The sequence below is a fragment of the Homo sapiens genome, chromosome 7, assembly GCF_000001405.40.
Source record: "Homo sapiens chromosome 7, GRCh38.p14 Primary Assembly".
NCBI lineage: Eukaryota > Metazoa > Chordata > Mammalia > Primates > Hominidae > Homo > Homo sapiens.
Genome location: NC_000007.14, coordinates 130331000 through 130349474, shown reverse-complemented (window position 1 = coordinate 130349474; position 18475 = coordinate 130331000). Strand labels below are relative to the sequence as shown.

Genomic DNA, 18475 nt, shown 5'->3' with positions numbered 1-18475 from the left:
ATGTTTTTGACAGACCTATAATAAAGTTTAACTTATAAATTTTTTTTTTGAGATGGAGTTTCGCCCAGGCTGGGGTGCAATGGCATGATCTCAGCTCACCGCAATATTTGCCTCCCGGGTTCATGCCATTCTCCTACCTCAGCCTCCTGAGTAGCTGGAACTACAGGTGCACGCCACCACACCCAGCTAATTTTTGTATTTTTAGTAGAGACAGGGGTTTCACCATGTTGGCCAGGCTGGTCTTGAACTCCCGACCTCAGATGATCCACCCACCTTGGTCTCCCAAAGTGCTGGGATTGCAGGCATGAGCCACCACACCTGGCCCTAACTTATAAATTAGGCACAGTTAAAGATTAAAAACAATAGCTTAATAATAAAATAGAGCAATTATAACAAATGCCAGCATCACTACTCTTGCGCTTTGGGGCCATTATTAAGTCGAATAAGGGTTAGACGAACAGAAGCACTGCAACACCGCGACAGTCGGTCTGATGACCGAGATGGCCACTAAGTGACTCGCGGAGGGGAGTGTGGACAGCGTGCAGGTGCGAGACTTCATCACACTACTCAGAACAGCTTGCAATTTAAAACTTATGAGTTGTTTCTTTCTGGAATTTTCCGTTTAATGTTTTTGGTTGACTGCCAATCAGGAGGGACTACTGTACACCTAAACGGGCCCCAGTTCCGTAATGAAACCCTAAGGCTGAGTGGAAAGACTGGGACAAACAAAATCCCCAAGGCACTGAGGTTCTTTCCCTAATTCCAAGTCCTGTTGCCTCCACACCTCACTCATACTCATTGCAACTTCGTCAGGATCCAGAGAGCCCTAAAGAGTCCTCAAGGTGAGGCCGCTCATCATCTGGGACATGAACACAGACAAGAACCCTGGTCAGGAAAGGGAGGCATCATTGTTCCCATCCCCGCAGAAGTAGGAGAGGCCTAATCTGGGTCCCTAGGTCAGCCTTTTGCGATGCCTATTTTTCAATTAGTAAAATGGAGAGAATGATCATAAAGCATCATGAGTCCCAGTCGACGGGACACTCAGACAAGTAGGAGCAAGGGCTTTGACCACATCCAGGAATATCTGGTAGTTCCAATGGCCCCCTAACAAAACCCTTCTATGTAATAGTCAAAGTTAAAGAAAATGTTTTCCATTGTGAAAACCTGCAGAGGACAAATGTTCTCAGGAATGATGCTCAGGCTGACGGGGACGAACCCAGATAAAATACAGGTTTGCCAAGCTAAGCCGTTTCACTTGGGAGGCCAATGTATCCAACCTCCATGCTACGTGGCATCCCACCCAGAGACATTGTGCCCTCCCACCCGTGTGGCTTTAGGAAATTCCTGCTGTTTGGAGATTGGTGCCCTGATGGGTCATGTAGCAGCTCCCTATCCAGGAGAGAGTGGGTGGCTAGAAGAGACACAGACTAAAAAGGCAGCCCAAATTTCTGGGCAGGTGTTCCTGATTTTTCCTGAAGTGGAGCCACGTGTGATTTCCCACAGGTCTGTGCTCTTTGCAGGGACCTCAGGAGGGCAGGTTTGGGATAAAGGGGGGCAGGACAAGGAGCTAAATGTGTGAGCCACTGAGGAGGGGGTGGGGTTGTCCTCAAGCCTGAGGAGTCCTCACCTTCTGGGGTTTCAGGCCCTCCAGATCCCCGAGAAGTGAAAGCTGCTTCTCATCTTTGGCCAGGACTCGAAGAACCTGGTCCCTAGAAAAACACAGGGAGGGGCGGAGGAAGCTGCGGAGAAGGATCCCTGGAAGGCTGTGTCACTTGGAAGGGGCAGAGTGGAGCAGAGGCCCAGCTGAGGGCCAGGCGGGGAGGCCAGGAGGCACCGCATGAGTGGAGGCTGAAGGAGCCCTGAGCAGGCAGGACTCGCAGGCAGCTCTGAGAAGCACATGGTCCTTCAGTCTAGAGCCAGTGGGCTCTCCAGCCCCAAGGACAGACCACCCCGGGGGCTAAATAAAGCCTGTCAGTGCTACTGCTGGACTGAAGGCCAAGCCAGGGGAAGAAGGAAGGGAAAGGAATGGGGAGGGGGGCGATGTGTAAAATGAAAGGAATGAAGGGGAGAAAGGAATAGACACAGGGGCTGGGGGGACCAGTGTGGCCCCAAGGGCTCTTCGCGAGGGGGCCCCAAGGCCATGGTCTGTCTCGACGCCCGGAAGGTGAGATCAGACAACCTCACCCCACCTGACATGGAGGAAGCTGAGCTCCTTTCCTTCCCGATGGAGGTGAGTGGAGGTTGCGTATCCAAGAGGCCTGTGGTGTGGGCTCTGGGGTGCGACACCTGGGATGGGGTTGGTGCCCTCACAGGCTGGCTCTGAGACCGTGGGTGAGGAACCCCATCTCTACGCTCGCTGTGTCTCCTCTTCTCTACTGTGGAGCACTGTGGGGCATCCACCTGTGGACCTTGGAGAGGCTCAAAGTACATCCACAGAGGGCCTGGCGTGTAATACTAGAACTTCCTGTCATTCGAAGGAGAACGACACCCACATCCATTTTTGGTAGGGGTATGTAGTCTTGTGGGGGCTACAACTTCTCTGAGAATCGGAGGAAAGCTATGAATGCATCCTCCCCGAAGAAGCCCCTGTTGTATAGGAAAACTGTTGCATGTGGTTTCAGGGGATTCTTGGAGCCCCGGGGGCTTCCTCCTGGACTCTGGATTAAGAACTCTGGATTTGGGGAGGACCACCAACGAGCCAGCCCCGGAGCATGAAAGTGGGAGGCTGTGGAGCTGGAAGTGGGTTCAGGACAGGAACCCACATCCTGACTCTCCGCCTTGATCAGGCACCAGCAGGGCAGCCACCTCCTGCTGGGACACCCAGTCCCCTCCTCCCAGCCAGTCCTCCCTCCCACTGTGGAGCAGCCACTCACCCTGTGAAATTCATTTGGCCCAAAGCTGCTGCCAGGATAAAGCTGAAGACCAGGAGTGTCCGCCTGTCCACGGGGGATGGCCCAGGGCGCGTCCCGCCTCCAGGGGTGCCCTGCATGCTTCTTCCTCCTGGTGAGCTTCAGGGGCTTTCCTTGGGCACCATGGCCCAGGCCTCAGGACAGCACAGCACCTAGAGGCTGGAAAGCCCAGCCTGAGAAAGAGCATTAGGCTGTCTGGGGCACCCAGCATGTGGCTCCCACATGCCAGGCCTTGGGAGAGCTAGGGCTGCCCCTCCCCAACCCAGCACATCCTCTCCTGGGAAGGGGAGAGGGAAGAGAGAAGGAGGAAGACAGGCCTTAGCTTTTCTTTTCTCTCAGGAGGTTTGCCAGGGCAGCCCCTTGTGAGCATCAAAGCTTCCATCTCTGGAGAAAGACCAAAGTAGCCAGCAGCCCTGGGATACCCCTCCTTTCCTCCCTCCTCTACAGCATCTTCTCTTTCGCTCTTCTTCTCCGCCTAGCCCACTCATGCTTTCCCTGGGCCATATCCTCCTTACACATAAGGTGTGGATGCCATTGAAACACCGCTGGACTTAGAGACAGAGACTGGGTGCTCACTTCCCGTCTAAAATATCTGGGGCAGCTGCCCTAATCTCTAAATCTCAGTTTACTCATCCATCAAATGGGGTTAATCATACCTCCCCTCCCTACCTCACAGGGTTTGAAGGGGTATAGATGAGACAACTTGAGTGAATTGGCTTGGTAAAGCCTGCAAAATGCAATGTATTATTATTCAAAAGGCATTAACTTTTAGTCACAGCTGCATTTGAGATCAGTCCTCCAGTGGCGATGGGGAGAAGGGGAAGAGAAGAGAATGGAGAGGAGAACAAAGGAAATAACTATATATTGTATGAGAAGGAATTCAATCAAGATTCCCTTTTCTCTGTCTTCAGGTGGTCATCATTGTGCTAGCACAGACAGTGGGTTTTCTGCTAGACATGAAGGTCACCGCAGTCATTATTAGAGTTCTCAACAGACAGCAGAGTCAATTTCTCAGTCCTGCTGAAGCCCCACACAGTTCCCTTTATAGTTTGGGAATAGCAGGAGTAAAGCAGGGGCCAGCACACAAAGCAGTCATGTTGGAAGGAGAAAGTGAAAGATGATGCCTGAATGGCAAATGATGAATCTAACAGAAAATCCACAGGGGGTGGGGGTAAGGCAGAAGCTGAATCCAACCAAGTCGTTCAGCAGAGGACGTCAACAATAGGCCACTTAACTGTCACTGGCGATTCTCAGAAGCTCCCCCTCCCCATCCAAACTATCTCAGAATGGCCGATTAACTGGCTATGTGTGCAAAGAAGGGAGCTCGTTTATCGACAGAACGCCCTGCTCCCCCACCCACCTGCCCTACTCCATTATTTCGTAGTTCAGCTGTTCAGACAAGCCAGACTCTTCTAGTATCCTGGCTTCAGGGACTCTCAAACAGTAACATTATCAAAGGGTTTAAGGACATAGAAAAGAAAGCAGTTATGCTTTCCACCCAAGTAACATTCAGCTTCAGTAGCAATGGAGATAAAAGGGTGTACTGCTAAACAATAGCTCAGGAATTTAAAAGGAAAAAAACAGAGATAGTGCTAGTCACCAAAAGTACCCATGGGGCGTCTTCTTGTTCAAAAACATCATTTTAAGCCACCAATGATGAGACAACTATCCCTGTACTTGGCTTAAGGGTGGGAAAAGAGAGAGAGTGAGAGAGAAAGAATAAGAGTAAAAGAGAGAGAGAGAAGCAGTTAGGAAGTTTTGAGAATTCTATGACATAGCTTCCAATAGAACTTTCTGTGATAATGGAAATATTCTATGTCCACACCCCCCAGTAGGATAGCCACTAACCTCTTGAAATGTGGCTATTGTGGTTGAATATTGATTTTGGAGTTGTATTTAACTTTAATTAATTTAAATAAAATTTAAATAGCCACATGTGGCTAATGGCTACCATATTGGACAGCAGAGTTCTCTGGGAATTCACCAACCCTGAAAGCACCATCTCCAATGGCTGGATTTGTTTTTGGTTTTGCTTCTTCTAAGTTCATGTTAGACGGGTAATGTGCTGACGTCATAACAAGGTTTGAGGGTGACACATCTCACACACGCATGCGTGAGCACCCAATTATCATACTTATGAACTGCAATTATCAGCTTATGGCTGGATTTGAAGCGGAGACACATAGCTATGCTTGACCTAATACCTCATTTTGGCTTTTCACTTATAATTAATTACTCACCTAATCATTTACTCAGTAAATGTCCTCTGAATACCTGCTATGTTCCAGGCACTTGCTAAAGTCTGGAAACAAAATAGAAAGCAACACATATCTGGCCCTTACATTTCTAAAGGCGTAAGTAGAAAATTAATTTAAATAGCATGAAGATAATTGGTAAACCCAAGACATAATGGTAGCCCATCTCACTCCAGATAAGTGTAAAACTATAGATGGTGTTTGTGTTACAAGGGAAAGGCACATTGTACCATGAGGACGGGGAACATGGGCTCCACATAGACTGAAGGAGAGTTTCCCTAAATTAGAAATTTTTTTGGAGGACTTTTATTTCCTGCAGGTGGGGTGGGTTAGATACCTAAGCAATCTTGCCCAAATGAAAGAACTCAAATGCAGAAGAAAATATTTTTAGTAACAACTTTCTAAAGCCATTGCTGGGTTGGCACAAAAATAAGAATCTATAGATCCCAAAAAGAAGGAAAAGCCAGACAGACACCCAAGTGGTAAGCAAGTTTTGCCTCAGAGAACTTCTCAGAATGCTGGTGTTCTTGATTTTCCTACTGGATGCATGTACCATGTATCTAGAATCATCTTCCCTCTGCTTCAAATCTATCTTTTCAAACCTTCCTTTAGTTAAGGTTTCTGTTTTTACTTATTTGAAAATTTTTGGCCAGGTATGGCAGCTCACATCTGTAATCCCAGTGCTTTGGGAGGCCAAGGCAGGAGGAGCCCAGGAGTTCGCTTGAGCCCAGGAGTCCGAGACCAGCCTGGGCAAGTCAGGGAGACCCTATCTCTGCAAAAATAAAATAAAATTAGCTGGGCATGGTGAGGCACGCATCTGTAGTCCTAGCTACTCGGGAAGCAAGCAAGCAGATCAACTGAGCCCAGGACTTTGAGGCTGCAGAGAACCATACTCCAGCCTGGGTGACAGAACAAAAACCTATCTCAAAAAAAAAAAAAAGAAAAAAAGAAAAAGAAAAGAAATAAGGAAGGGAGGGAGGGAGGAAGAGAGGGAGGGAGGGAGAGAGGGAGGGAGCGAGGAAGGAAGGAAGGAAGGAAGGACAGACAGAAAAAAAAAGAAAGGAGAGAGGGAAAGAGAAAGAAAGGAAAAAAAAGAATAAAGAAAGAAGAAAGAAAAAAGAGAAAGAAAGAAAGAAAGAAAGAGAAGAAAGAAGGAAAGAAAAAGAAAGAAAAGAAGAAAGAAGAAGGAAGGAAGGAAGAAAGAAAGAAAGAAGAAGAAAGAAAGAAAGAAAGAGAAAAAGAAAGAAAGAAAGAAAGAATTATTTTGCTCTCATTCTTGAAAGGGTTTTTTGGGATAGAAATTCCAAGTTGATTACTGTTTTCCTCTCAACACATTGAAAATATTATCCCACAGTCTTCTGGCTTCCATTTTTGCTGCTAAAAGGTAATGTTTGTTGACTTACTGTTCTTCAGAAGGTGACCTCTCTTTGTTCCTGGTTTCTTTGAAGAGCTTCTCTTTGCTTTTGATGTTCCACAGTTTTATCATCGTAAGTCCAGGTATGGATTTTTTTTGTTTTGTCTTGCTTGAGAATCATTTGAATTCCTGTATCTGAGTGTCACTCGCTTTCTATTATTTTCCAAATTTCTCAGCCATTATATTTTTAAACATTGCCCCTTTTCCTCTCTATTACCTTCATCTGGAACTTTTGACTGGACCTCCTCATTCTAGCCCCCAAGACTCATAAGCATTCTGCTATATTTCCATTGTGTGGTCTCTCTGGGCTACATTCTGGATAATTTATTAGTAAAAAATATTTTTGTCTTTATTCCAGTTACCTGATTCTTCATTGGCTGAGTTTAATCTGCAATTTAATTGATCTGTGAAGTTTTACCTTTCAATTGCTACGGTTCATTGATTCTGCAACCTATTTTTTTCACATTTTTAACACTGCTAAAATCAGGATACATCTTACAATTGGTGGCATCTTGCAATGCTAAGGTGGCACATAAAATTATGGTGCATCTTATAAAATTGATCCTGTTTTATAGTCAATGCAATATGATATTCATTTTTCATTTTTGGAAGTTCTATTTGATTCTTTTTTTCTGATTCAAGCCCAAATGACTTGAATTTCTTATCTATTTTAGAATTTCTTATTTCTTTAAACGTATAAGACAGATATTTTATATTCTGTGTTAGATAATTACAATTCCTAGATGTTTTAAGTCTGTTTCTGCTGCCTATTCTTTCCGCTGGTTCTCACTCATGGTGCATTTTCTCTCATGCCACATACCTGTGAACCAATCATTTTCCTTGAACATTTATCTGTGAGAATCCCTTGAGGCCTGGGTTGAAGGTGGGTTCTTCCAGAAAAGATTTGCGTTTACTTCTGTAAGTTGCTGGGGACACTACCAACCTGCGACCACTCTAAATTAAATAATTTAAGATTTTTTTGGGGGACTGCATAGTTAGCATAAACTTAAACCACAAATTCATGTCGGGGGCTTACTTGTGGTTATGAAATCTCAGGAAATATTTTCCCCGGCATCATCTAACACCAAAGTTTTAAGTCCTGGACAAGAATAGCATGTTATCTGCAAGTGGGTCATCAGAGTTAAAGTGTCTTTAAGGTCCTGGAATTATTGGGAGAAAGGAGAGATATTGATAATTTTTTAGATTTTGGTAAATATGCGTGTTCAAATAGCTAGAGCAACAACTAGAAGAATAGGCCCAGTGCACATAACTTTCAAACTCCACTAAAAATACAAAAATTAGCTGGGCATGGTGGTGGGAGTCATCCCAGCTACTCGGGAGGCTGAGGTGGGAGAATTGCTTGAACCCAGGAGGCGGGGGTTGCAGTGAGCCAAGATCATGCCACGGCACTCCAATCTGGGCGACAGAGCAAGACTGTCTCAAAAAAAAAAAGAAAAAAATACTAGCTATATGGTTTCACAAGAGGCACTCTTAAAACATAAGAAGAAAGAGAGACTCAAAGTCAAGGATGGAAAAAAGATATTCCAAGTAAATACTAATAAAAGAAAGCATATAGCCACGTGCAGTGTCTCGTGCCTGTAATCCCAACAATTTGGGAGGCCAAGGAGGGACGATCACTTGAGGACAGCAGTTCAAGACCAGCCCAGGCAACATAGGGAGACCCTGTCCCTACAAAAAAATAGAAATAAGTTAGCCAGGCATGGTGGCATGCACCTGTGGTCTCAGCTACTTGGGACACCCCTTCTTAAAAAAAAAATCAGGAATAATTCTAACAAGCAATGTGCAATCCTCCCTGTTCTGAAGTAAGCAGGTATATGCAAACCTGCCCCCAAAGTCTTAGGAAGCTGAGAGGTCCAAGAAAGAGGCTGACAAATCTGTTTTTTAGAAAGAAACACTTAATAGGGACTTACAAGCAGAAGCCATGTCTGTGTCTCAGGTGTTGGTGAGACAAGCTGGTGGATTCCTGCACCATTACCGCCGAGACCCATGGCCCATACACCATAGGGACAGGATAACTCCAAAGGGATGTGTAGGACCTTTGAAGGGTGATAGCATCAAGCCTGTACCAACCCCAGGGCAGGATTCATGGCAAGCACATACTCCACTCAAGGAACAACGAACTGGAAATCCCAAGGCCTTCCCCGATCGGGGGGCAACCAGAAGTCAACATGGCAGATTAGCATCTAAGATGGAGTTGCTTTTGCCTCCATACTTCCTGGAGACAATTATAAAACTATTGGAAAATGCTAACATTCCAAACGAATCTAACAGTATACTCTATTCTTAAATAAGAAAACTCAATGTCATCACGCCACTGTGCTCCAACCTGGGTGACAGAGTGAGACCCCATCTCTACAAAAAGTTAAAATTAGCCAGGTGTGACGGTGTGCTCCTGTGGTCCCAGCTACTTCGGAGGCTGAGGTGGGAGGATGACCTGCACCTGGGAGGTAGAGGCTGCAGTGAGCTGTCATCGCACTACTGTACTCCAGCCTGGGTGACAGAGTGAGACCCTGTCTCAAAAAAAAAAAAAAAAAAAAAAAGAGAGAAACTCTTGCACATGTCACCAGAACATATGCACAAGATTGGCTGAATGAATGGAGACGTCATACAACAGAATACAAAGAGCAGAGAAAAGGAGTCAGCTACAGCGCCATGCATCCACATGGTTGAACCTCAAAAAATGTAATGTTGAGCGAAAGAAGCCAAGTCAGAACGCACTGTGTTTCCATTTATATACATCCACAAAACAGTATATTGTTTAGGAATATGTCCATATGCGGTAATTATAAGGAAAAGAAAGAAAATTATTAGCATGATTACTGGTTTTGTCTAGAAAAGGAAAGGGAGTACATTTGAGGGGCATGTGCAGGCTACTCGAATAATGTTACATTCTTGTTCTTAAGCTGAATGATAGGGTAAGAGTGTTAATTTAATTTTTTTTTTTTTTTTGGAGACAGAATCTCACTCCATCACCCAGGCTGGAGTGCAGTGGTGTGATCTTGGCTCACTGCAACCTCTGCCTCCCAAGTTCAAGCGATTCTCCTGCCTCAGCCTCCTAGTAGCTGGGATTACAGGCACCTGCCACCACACCTGGCTAATTTTGTATTTTTAGTAGAGATGGGGTTTCACCATGTTGGCTAGGCTGGTCTTGAACTCCTGACCTCAAGTGATCTGCCTGCCTCCGCCTCCCAAAGTGCTAGGATTACAGGTGTGATCCACCGCGCCCGGCTGTTAATTTTATTTTTAACAGCCACTGAAGTTTTATACAGGATCTTGTACGTATGATATACTTCACAATAAAACATATTTTAAAGGAAATATGGGGCAGTTAATTTACTTTTTATAGTGAGAATCAATCCAAAATGCCCAAAACTGAAAAATCAAGAAGTAGCAATGTAAGCACTTTACCTAGTCTTGTGAATGTTGAGCATCAAGGCTAGAAGAACTCAATGTGGTTATTGCCAGAGAGCAAGACCTGGCACGAAAGCGAGGAGCAGGACTCTGTTGCTTTTTATAACAAGTCTTGTAGAACTCTGACTCTTCATATGATGTGCTGTGTAACCCTTTAAATTAAAGAGAAGTTGTAAAAGTGGCATTTAATACCTAGAGTAGTCCAGCTTATAGAGACAGCAAGCAGAATGGTGGTTGCCAATGGGCAAATGGGAAGTTATTTAATGAGGATATAGTTTCAGTTTAGGAAGAGGAAAAAGTCCTGGAGATGGGTGGTGGTAATGGTTGCACAGCAGTGTAGATATACTTAATGCCACTGAACGCTACACTTAAAAACAAAATGGTACATTTTATGTTATGTATATTTTATCACATTACACAAAATTAAAGCTAAAAAAACCCAGCCAAACAGTAACATTTGAGCTGAGTTAGGTAAGATGTGAAGGAGTTAACTCGACTAAGCGTGATGGGGAGATTGCAGGAAATCTCATTCTAGCCCTGAATCCCTTCCTTGTTGAAGGTATTAATTCCCATGTCTGGCTGGGGACCACCCTGGGGGTCTCCAGAGATCGAATGAGGTGCTCCAACATCTGCAAACAAAACTTCCAAACTAAATTATGTTTTAGTCTCCAAAAGTCCCCTTTGAGTGTTTTAGGAAAATAAATACATCGAGTGTAATCTTTAAAAAAAGAACAACAGGAGCATCATCGTTCCCTTTCTAAAAGGATTCTTTGATTATTGAGAGGATTTGCCACTGTTTCTTAAAATGAAATCTCCCCTAGTGCACTCAAAATGTGATTTAATTAACAAAAAAACAGGCTTATCCCACCTTTCAGGAATATGCCAAGCAGGCGCTTTCAGGAAATGGAATATTAAAAATCCAAGAAAACAATGGAAGGCCTAAAAGGTAGGTTAATGCCGCTCTGGATTAGAGGTTTGAAATTTACTTTCTCATGCAAAATCCCAGTCTGGGGCCACCCACCACAGGGAACCTGAGCCTACTGACCACATCTCCCCAGTTTAGCTAATCATGCCTTGTGCCTCCATCACACACCATAGATTCTAATTCTTTACAGGCATCTGCAAACTCAAAACAAAGTCTTCGTGGGCTGGGGCTGTGTCATATTCATTTGCACCATCCCAGAAACCCTTTGTATAGCCAGGCCACTGCCCAGGACCTATTTGTTGACTGATTTGTTGATTTACTCATTCCAATGACTCCCCAAATCTTAGGGGAACAATCCTTCACATCCAGGACCTTCACCCTTGCCTGCTCCGCTCAGCTGTGCCTCCGTCAGCCCAGAGCTCCTAAACCTTTGCTCTGAGCTGCTCCCCATGTTTTGTTACTGGACCTCACTCTCACACCCCACAACCAGGGACCTACCTCCCCTGGCGTCATCCTCAAATGCAGGCCTCTAACACCAAGGTCTTGCCTCCCCCTCCCCCAGGACGTACGCCCCTGCCCAGATGTAGGCCCAGCAGCTGAAGATAGACTCTTGGGCAACCCTCCGCCACTTGGCTGTCTCCATCCGGGCACCCAGCTGGCCTCCTCTCAACTGTACTACACCACCCCTTCCCCACTAGCTGGGTGTTTGGATGGAGGCCAGACACCCCCCGACCAGCCACAGGGCAGCAAGAGCTATGGAACGGCTGGCCAGGACATGTCACTTGCCAAACCTCAGAGATACTGGGAGGAAGTGGGCTGGGGCTGCGGGCTCCCTGGGTGGGTGTCTAATGCCTGGTCATCTGGGACCTAGCTAATGACCACCATGAGGTGCCCAAGAGCACAGGCTGAGGGCCTGCTCCCAGTGAGACAGTAGGTTGGTAACCTACAGGCCAAGGAAGGGATGCAGCTGCAGCCAAGGCCAGCCCCTTGGGCCTGGAGAGCCACATTTACAGCCCTGTGCAGAGCTTCCAAAGGCCTCACCATGTAGAGGAAAGGTAAAGGTGACCCACATGCTTTCCCTGTCCAGGGGCCAACAAATTTTTTTCTGGAAAGGGCCAAAAAATAAATATTTTAGGCTTTGGGGTCCAGAAGGTAAGATAGAGCAACTGTTCTCACTGAAGAGTCTGTTTTTTTCTTTAATTAAAAAAAAAAAAAATTCATAGAGACAGGGTTTTGCTACGTTGCCCAAGCTGGTCTTGAACTCCTGGCTCAAGCTATCTCCCACCTCAGCCTTCCAAAGTGTTGGGGTTACAGGCACGAGCCACTGTGCCCAGCCTAAAGAGTCTTTTTACATTTAAAAATGTAAAAACCATTCTTAGCTTGGAGGCTATGGAGGCTAGATTTGATCTGCGGGCCATAGTTTGTCTATCCGGTCTACTTAAAGAGGCAGGCATTCATTTATGAGATTATTCAGATCTATTAGACAGCTCAAGGTAAGTCGGAGTCGAGAATTAGAAGCATTTTCAATCAAATCCAGTGATTTCCAAAGTGAGGCATTCATTCCTACCAGGGGGTAAAGGAAGAAACTATTAAGACTTATAAGCTATATTTTTATTCTGTCCTTTTTATTTTAATTTTTATGTTTTATAAAATATATAATATGAGTACAGTGGCATTTGTACAGAATTTATAAATATATAATTACATATGTTGGGTGTGACAAGCCAGATTTTTAAAAAATTATAGGAGTGCAGGATAAAAAAATCTGAAGAATTCTGCCTAGAGTTCTTACATCAGTTTATTTTGTAAACTTGCACACCACCGTGCCTTTGTTTCTATAAGTACCTCTTCTCTCACATAGTGCTGGATGGCACAATCTGATTTTTAAAATTAAAATTTATTTAAATTCACGTTGATAGATGTTGCAGAATTTCACTGTCCTTGAAAGCTATGTATTATGGAGCGAAAGGCTATTTACTGAGCACCACTATGAGCAAGGTTCTGCCTCTGTAACCTCATGTCTGGTTGGGAAAAAGTGGGCAAAAGTTTTACCACTTTTTGATCAAAGTTCACTTTTTTTTTTTTTTTTTGAGATAGGGTTGCGCTCTTGTTGCCCAGGCTGGAGTGCAATGGCACGATCTCAGCTCACCGCAACCTCCGCCTCTTGGGTTCAAGCGATTCTCCTGCCTCAGCGTCCAGAGTAGCTGGGATTACAGGCATGCGCCACCATGCCTGGCTAATTTTGTATTTTTTAGTAGAGACGGAGTTTCTCCATGTTGGTCAGGCTGGTCTACGAACTCCTGACCTTAGGTGATCCTGCCCGCCTCAGCCTCCCAGTGTTGGGATTACAGGCGTGAGCCACCACGCCTGGCCCAAAGTTCCCTTTGAAATAACACTAGACTATTTCACGTGTAGTGCAGGTACCTTATAACAAAGTATTCCCAATTTTTTTCCGCTGCCTCTTATGACATCGCTGAAATTTATTTCACTTATTCATATGTTATAATCACACAATACATTGCTACTATTATTGCTTTTAACAAATAGTTATCTTTTAGATAAATTAAGAATAAGAAAAATAAGATTTTATTTTACTTTCATTTATTCCTTCTTCCCTTTCTTTATGTAGATCTGAATTACTGATTTACTATTTTCCTACTCACTGAAATGCTTCTTTTAACATTTCTTGTAGAGCAGATATGCTGGTGATGAATTCCCTCAGTATTTGTCTGTCTGAGAAAATATTTATCCTTTACTCTTTTGTTTTGTTTTGTTTTTGAAGCAGAGTCTCGCTCTGTCACCCAGGCTGGGGTGCAGCGGTGCAGTGGCGTGATCTCAGCTCACTGCAACCTCCACCTTCTGGGTTCAAGCGAATCTCCTGCCTCAGCCTCCTGAGTAGCTGGGATTACAGGCGTGTACCACCCCGCCCAGCTAATTTTTGTATTTTTGGTAGAGACAGGGTTTCAGCATGTTGGCCAGGCTGGTCTCAAACTCCTGACCTCAGGTGATCCTCCTGCCTCAGCCTCCCAAAGTGTTGGGATTACAGGTGCGAGCCACTGCACCCAGCCGAGCCTTCACTCTTGAAGGATAATGTCACTGGGTATACAATTATAGGTTGGTGGGTTTTTTTCTTTCACCACTTTAAATATTTCCCCTCACTTTCTACTTGCATGCATAGTTTCTGACAAGAAGTCTGCTGCGGTTTTTATTCTTGTTCTCTATAGGTAAAGTGTTCCCTCTGGCTCTTTCCAGACTTCGATTTTTTTTTTTCAGTTTGATTATGTTGTGCCTAGGTATAGTTTCTTGATATTTATCTTTCTTGGTTTTCTCTGAACTTCCTAGATATGTGTTTGGTATCTATTAATTTTGGAAAATCCTCAAGAATATTACTTCAAATATTTATTTGGCTCTGTTCTCTCTTCTCCTTCTGGCATTCCAATTACTTGTACATTACACCTTTTGAAACCGTCCTACAGTTCTTGGGTGTTTTCTTCTGGGTTTTTTCATCTTTTCTCCTTTGCATTTCAATATGAGAAGTGTTTGTTTTCCCCCTTCAATTTCACTGATTCTTTCCTTGGCTGTGTCCAGTTTACCAATAATGAGCCCATCAAAGGCATTCTTTGTTTCTGTTACAGTGTTTCTGATTTATAACACTTTCCTTTGATTCTTTCTTAGAGTTTCCATCTTTCTGCTGCTTACATTACTCATCTGTCTTTTCCCTTAGAACAGTTAACACATTAATCATTGTTATTTTCTTTTTATTTATTTTACTTTTTTTCTAGAGACAGGGTCTCACTATGTTGCCCAGACTGGACTCAAACTCCTGGGCTCAAGCAATCTTCCTGCCTCAGCCTCCCAAGTAGCTGGAACTTAGGCATGAACCACCACACTCAGCTCTAATCATTGTTATTTTTAATTCTCTGTGTGATAATTCCAGAATCTATATCATGTTCAAGTTTGGTTTCTTTTTCTCTTCAGACAGCTTTTGCTTTGTTTTGTTTTGTTTCTCCAGAGACAAAGTCTTGTCCCGTTGCCCAGGCTGGAGCGCAACGGCACTATCATAGCTCACTGCAGCCTCGAACTCTTGGGCTCAAGCGATCCTCCCCAGCAGCCAGCTGAGTAGCTGGGACTATAGGCACGTGCCACCACACCCATTTACAGACAATGTTTTTGATTTTGGTTTTGGGTTGTGTTTTGTTTTGCCTTTTAACATACCTTGTAATTTTTTTTTTGAAAGCTGGACATGATATATTGACTAATAGAAACTGAGGTAAATAGGCTTTCAGTGTGGGACTTTATATTAGTCTGGCTAGGAGTTAGGCTGTGCTTAATGTTTTCTGTAGTTATTAGTGCCAGAGGCTTCCAATTCCTCAGGGGTCTTTGGTTTTCTCTCCCCAGTTGTCTTTTGGCTTCCCTAAGTACTCCTCCTCTGAGAAAGTCAGCATCTTCCAGTTCTTTCAGCTTTAATCCAGTTTCATTATACCTCTTGGTGTGGTGGTAAGATGTGGGAGGAGAAAATGTTCTATCGTCTTATGATTATGAGATGAGTAGGTCTCTGGGCTGTGACTTTCACAAGTGTTTCTTAGCTTTTCCCTCTCTCTCTAGGGTGAGATAGGAATATTAGAGGGGACTGGATTTCGATAATTTCCCTTCCCCCAAGTAGATAAGGCTCTGGTAAAGTCTTCTCCTAGCAGAGTAGGTCTTTGTTATGAAGAACACTCTGGGCATTTCAAAATGGTTACCTATCCTCCACCCTGCCAGAAACACCAGACAATTTTTCTTGGTTCTTCATTATGAGAACCTGGTGGAGTTCCTAGAGGTAAGATCCATAAACATATTGGAGGAGCCCCTAAGGCTACAGGCCCCCAGGAGTTTCTCACTCTCAGGCAGGTTCACACTCAGCCTCCAATTACATCAAAATTACCATGTACGTGTTTTTACCAGCTTATGGCTTTAACATCTTCTGCTCTCAGAAGGTTGGCCTGTCTCTCCAGATTTGGGGGTGGCAGGTACCTTGGGAGTTCAGTTCTCTGATGGGTCCAAGAAAAGTCATTAAGTTTCAGCGTATTCAGCTTATTTCTTGTTGAAAGAGTTTCCAAGAGTTTCCAAGCTCTTTACATGTCAGCACTAAAGCCAGAAGTCCCCAAACTTTTTATACTAGGCAGTGAGCCTAACTGCCCTTTGCTCTAGAAGGAACAGTAAAGAAATCTGCCCTTCACTCCAGAGGGAGATATTGTCTATCTTCCAAGGTTGTTTGTTATTCTAACAACCTTGAAAAGATCATCTGGAATAATCTAGATATGCAGAAATATAAAAGGCCCAAGGAGAGCTGTCTCCCAATGGATGTATAAAACATTGGGAAAATGGTGCCAGAAATAAAGTTTAAAACGGTAGTCCTCAACCTTGGCAGTCCGTTAGCACCACCTGGACGGATTTTTATAAAACCAATGCCCAGAGATACAGTTTCCATTGGTCTAGGGTAAAGCTCCAAGAGTCAGTAGTTTTTAAAAGCCCCTGTGTGATTTTAATGTATAGCCAAGGTGGAGACCACCTATCTAAAAGTTGATGAGGTGAGATATAATTAATAATATATTTTTTAGCTCAGTGCTTCCCAAGCTTTGCTGTGCATGTGAATTACCTGGAATTATGTTCAATGCAGATTCTGATGCAATAAGGTCTGGAGGAGGGCCAGAGATTCTGTTTCTGACAAGCTCCCTGGTTTTGCCTGATATTGTCATTCTATTTGAGCAGCAGGATTTTAGCTCACTGGAAACAGACTTCTCATTATAATCTGTGTCTACTGCTAGACTTGCATACTTAAGGCTTTATATAGATGTATATACATACATACAGATAGATGAATGATAGATAGATAGATGATAGATAGATAGATAGATAGATAGATGTATAGATATGTTCAGGAATGTATCATGTAGGGAAGAAGGTAGCCTGACTCTGGAAGATGATTCTTGCAATAAGAGTAAGGCCCACATGTATACATATGTAACAAACCTGCACGTTGTGCACATGTACCCTAGAACTTAAAGTATAATAAATAAATAAATAAATAAATAAATAAATAAATAAATAAAGAGTAAGGCCTATCCTTTCCCGGGACCACAGAAATACCCTGGGCATTGAGATCATGAGAAAGTTGAGAGATGCGTCAGGATGTTGAAAACAAAGATTTAGAACACAGGGCCGTCAAGTCCTAAGCAACAACTTCCCTCTGAGCTTTACCTTGCTCAAGTATCAATGGTAGCTGTTGGGGAAGAGTATTTGGATCCAAGTATCAGAGAAATAAAAAGTAAAATCTTAGTATTGCTGGAGTAAAAGCCGTTTCCAGTATGAGCGGCCCAGAAGAGCATTGATCAATGTTGTTCCTATTTCTTGCATTGGGAGTAAGGGAAACATCTCTGGCCATCCTCCTCCCGATCTCCTGATTTAATTTCCAAAGGTTATGATACAGTTGACCTCCACGACCGCAGAGCTGGTGTCTGGGCTTTCCCATCTCTCTGCAGTGCTGGCAGCAAGAGGGAAGGCCTCTTCCAGGGCCAGCACTGCTCATGAACAGGCCTTCCGTGGCCCAGCAAAATGTCCACTTTCCACCTTGAATGAGTCTCTTTCTAGCTACATGTGTCCTTCATTTGTTTTCCAAAGTAAACAGAAGACTCCTAGATAGGAGTCAGGTTCCAGAGAGCCCATAAGGACATACAGAGACATGCCTGTTAAGTACTGATTGTATTGGTGGCCCTGGCGCAGGAGGGAGGGAGGAAGATCTAGTGCCTTCTTCTTTAATGTCTCTTTAACCAAGTTAATACCTGTCCACCCGCCAGCTGCCTCTGGAAACATTTTAGAAATACCACTTCACAGTGAGGAAACAGGTTATCCTTTCCCACCGGGCCTGGGGTCTCTGAGTTTTCTAATACAGATTTGCTGAAATGGGAACAGAAGGTCTTTGCTTTTCCTGACCTCTGTGCTTCTCACATCCATCAGAAAGAACAATGCCATGGCGAGGTACTCAGAGCTGAGGGAGGAAGATTGCTGCAGCCAGTGAGCTAAGCGGAAAGAATATCCTGGGCTTCCTTGGGATCCGATGTGGACTTGGTCCAGCTGCAGGTAGTCATTCAATACCTCTTTATGATGCACCTTAGGTGCTGAGGATTCTAAATGAATAAAACCTTGGCTCTGCCCATGAAGGGCTTATAAGCCCAAAGCCGAGGTTAATGGTAAAGCTAGGCTGAATTGCTTAAATACTCAAACAGAATACATCTATTTGCTTGTTGAGAGAAGTGGACATTTTGTCATCCAAGGATGGAAGAGGCTAAATAAAGATGAGGATAGGTGGTTCTATGGGCTGTGAATCCCTATAAAAAGACATAAAGTCCCTTGGCCAGGCGCAGTGGCTCACGCCTGTAATCCCAACACTTTGGGAGGCCAAAGCGGGCGGATCACGAGGTCAAGAGATTGAGACCTCCTGGCTAATATGGTGAAACCCCTGTCTCTACTAAAAATGCAAAAATTAGCCGGGCATGGTGGT

At 44.2% G+C, this 18475-nt stretch overlaps 1 protein-coding gene, 1 long non-coding RNA gene and 1 other non-coding gene across 25 annotated transcripts in view, besides 1 other annotated feature; 1 reads left to right on the top strand and 2 right to left on the bottom strand.

Annotated features, from left to right (window-relative positions):
• CPA5 (carboxypeptidase A5) overlaps positions 1 to 4659 on the bottom strand; it is a 29784-nt gene extending 25125 nt beyond the window's left edge. For 4 of the 18 annotated variants that reach the window (XR_007060171.1, XR_007060172.1, NM_080385.5 and 1 more), the window contains exons 1-4: positions 4270 to 4659; positions 3579 to 3636; positions 2874 to 3082; positions 1628 to 1709 (exon numbers count right to left, since the gene is read on the bottom strand). Coding sequence is in view for 16 of the 18 variants with exons in the window: in NM_080385.5 (NP_525124.3) it covers positions 1628 to 1709; positions 2874 to 2989 (198 nt within the window). In the remaining 2 variants the exon portion in view is untranslated. Of the gene's footprint in view, positions 1 to 1627; positions 1710 to 2873; positions 3083 to 3226; positions 3294 to 3565; positions 3714 to 4269 lie in introns of those variants that run through there. The other 14 variants (XM_005250710.2, XM_047421039.1, NM_001318223.2 and 11 more) reach the window with 12 other exon arrangements.
• The window catches only part of LOC105375503 (uncharacterized), a 32989-nt gene that overhangs the window by 2157 nt on the left and 12357 nt on the right, over positions 1 to 18475 (top strand). For 3 of the 6 annotated variants that reach the window (XR_927968.4, XR_927965.4, XR_927969.4), the window contains exons 1-3: positions 4748 to 5646; positions 10886 to 10956; positions 17932 to 18054. The exons of 1 other annotated variant lie outside the window; for it this stretch is intronic. This is a non-coding gene — a long non-coding RNA (uncharacterized LOC105375503). Of the gene's footprint in view, positions 1 to 4747; positions 5647 to 6361; positions 6662 to 10885; positions 10957 to 17931; positions 18055 to 18475 lie in introns of those variants that run through there. 2 more of the 6 variants (XR_927967.4, XR_007060523.1) reach the window with 2 other exon arrangements.
• Positions 2498 to 3467: an enhancer, noted in NCBI's record as "H3K4me1 hESC enhancer chr7:129985848-129986818 (GRCh37/hg19 assembly coordinates)". NCBI's record gives its function as "activates a minimal SCP1, AML or CMV promoter by ChIP-STARR-seq in primed H9 embryonic stem cells {active_cell/tissue: H9 hESC(primed)}" and the evidence as "EXISTENCE:reporter gene assay evidence [ECO:0000049][PMID:30033119]".
• On the bottom strand, positions 4957 to 5060 carry LOC124901837 (small nucleolar RNA U13). Its single transcript, XR_007060673.1, has one exon. It is a non-coding gene; the product is annotated as a small nucleolar RNA U13 (small nucleolar RNA).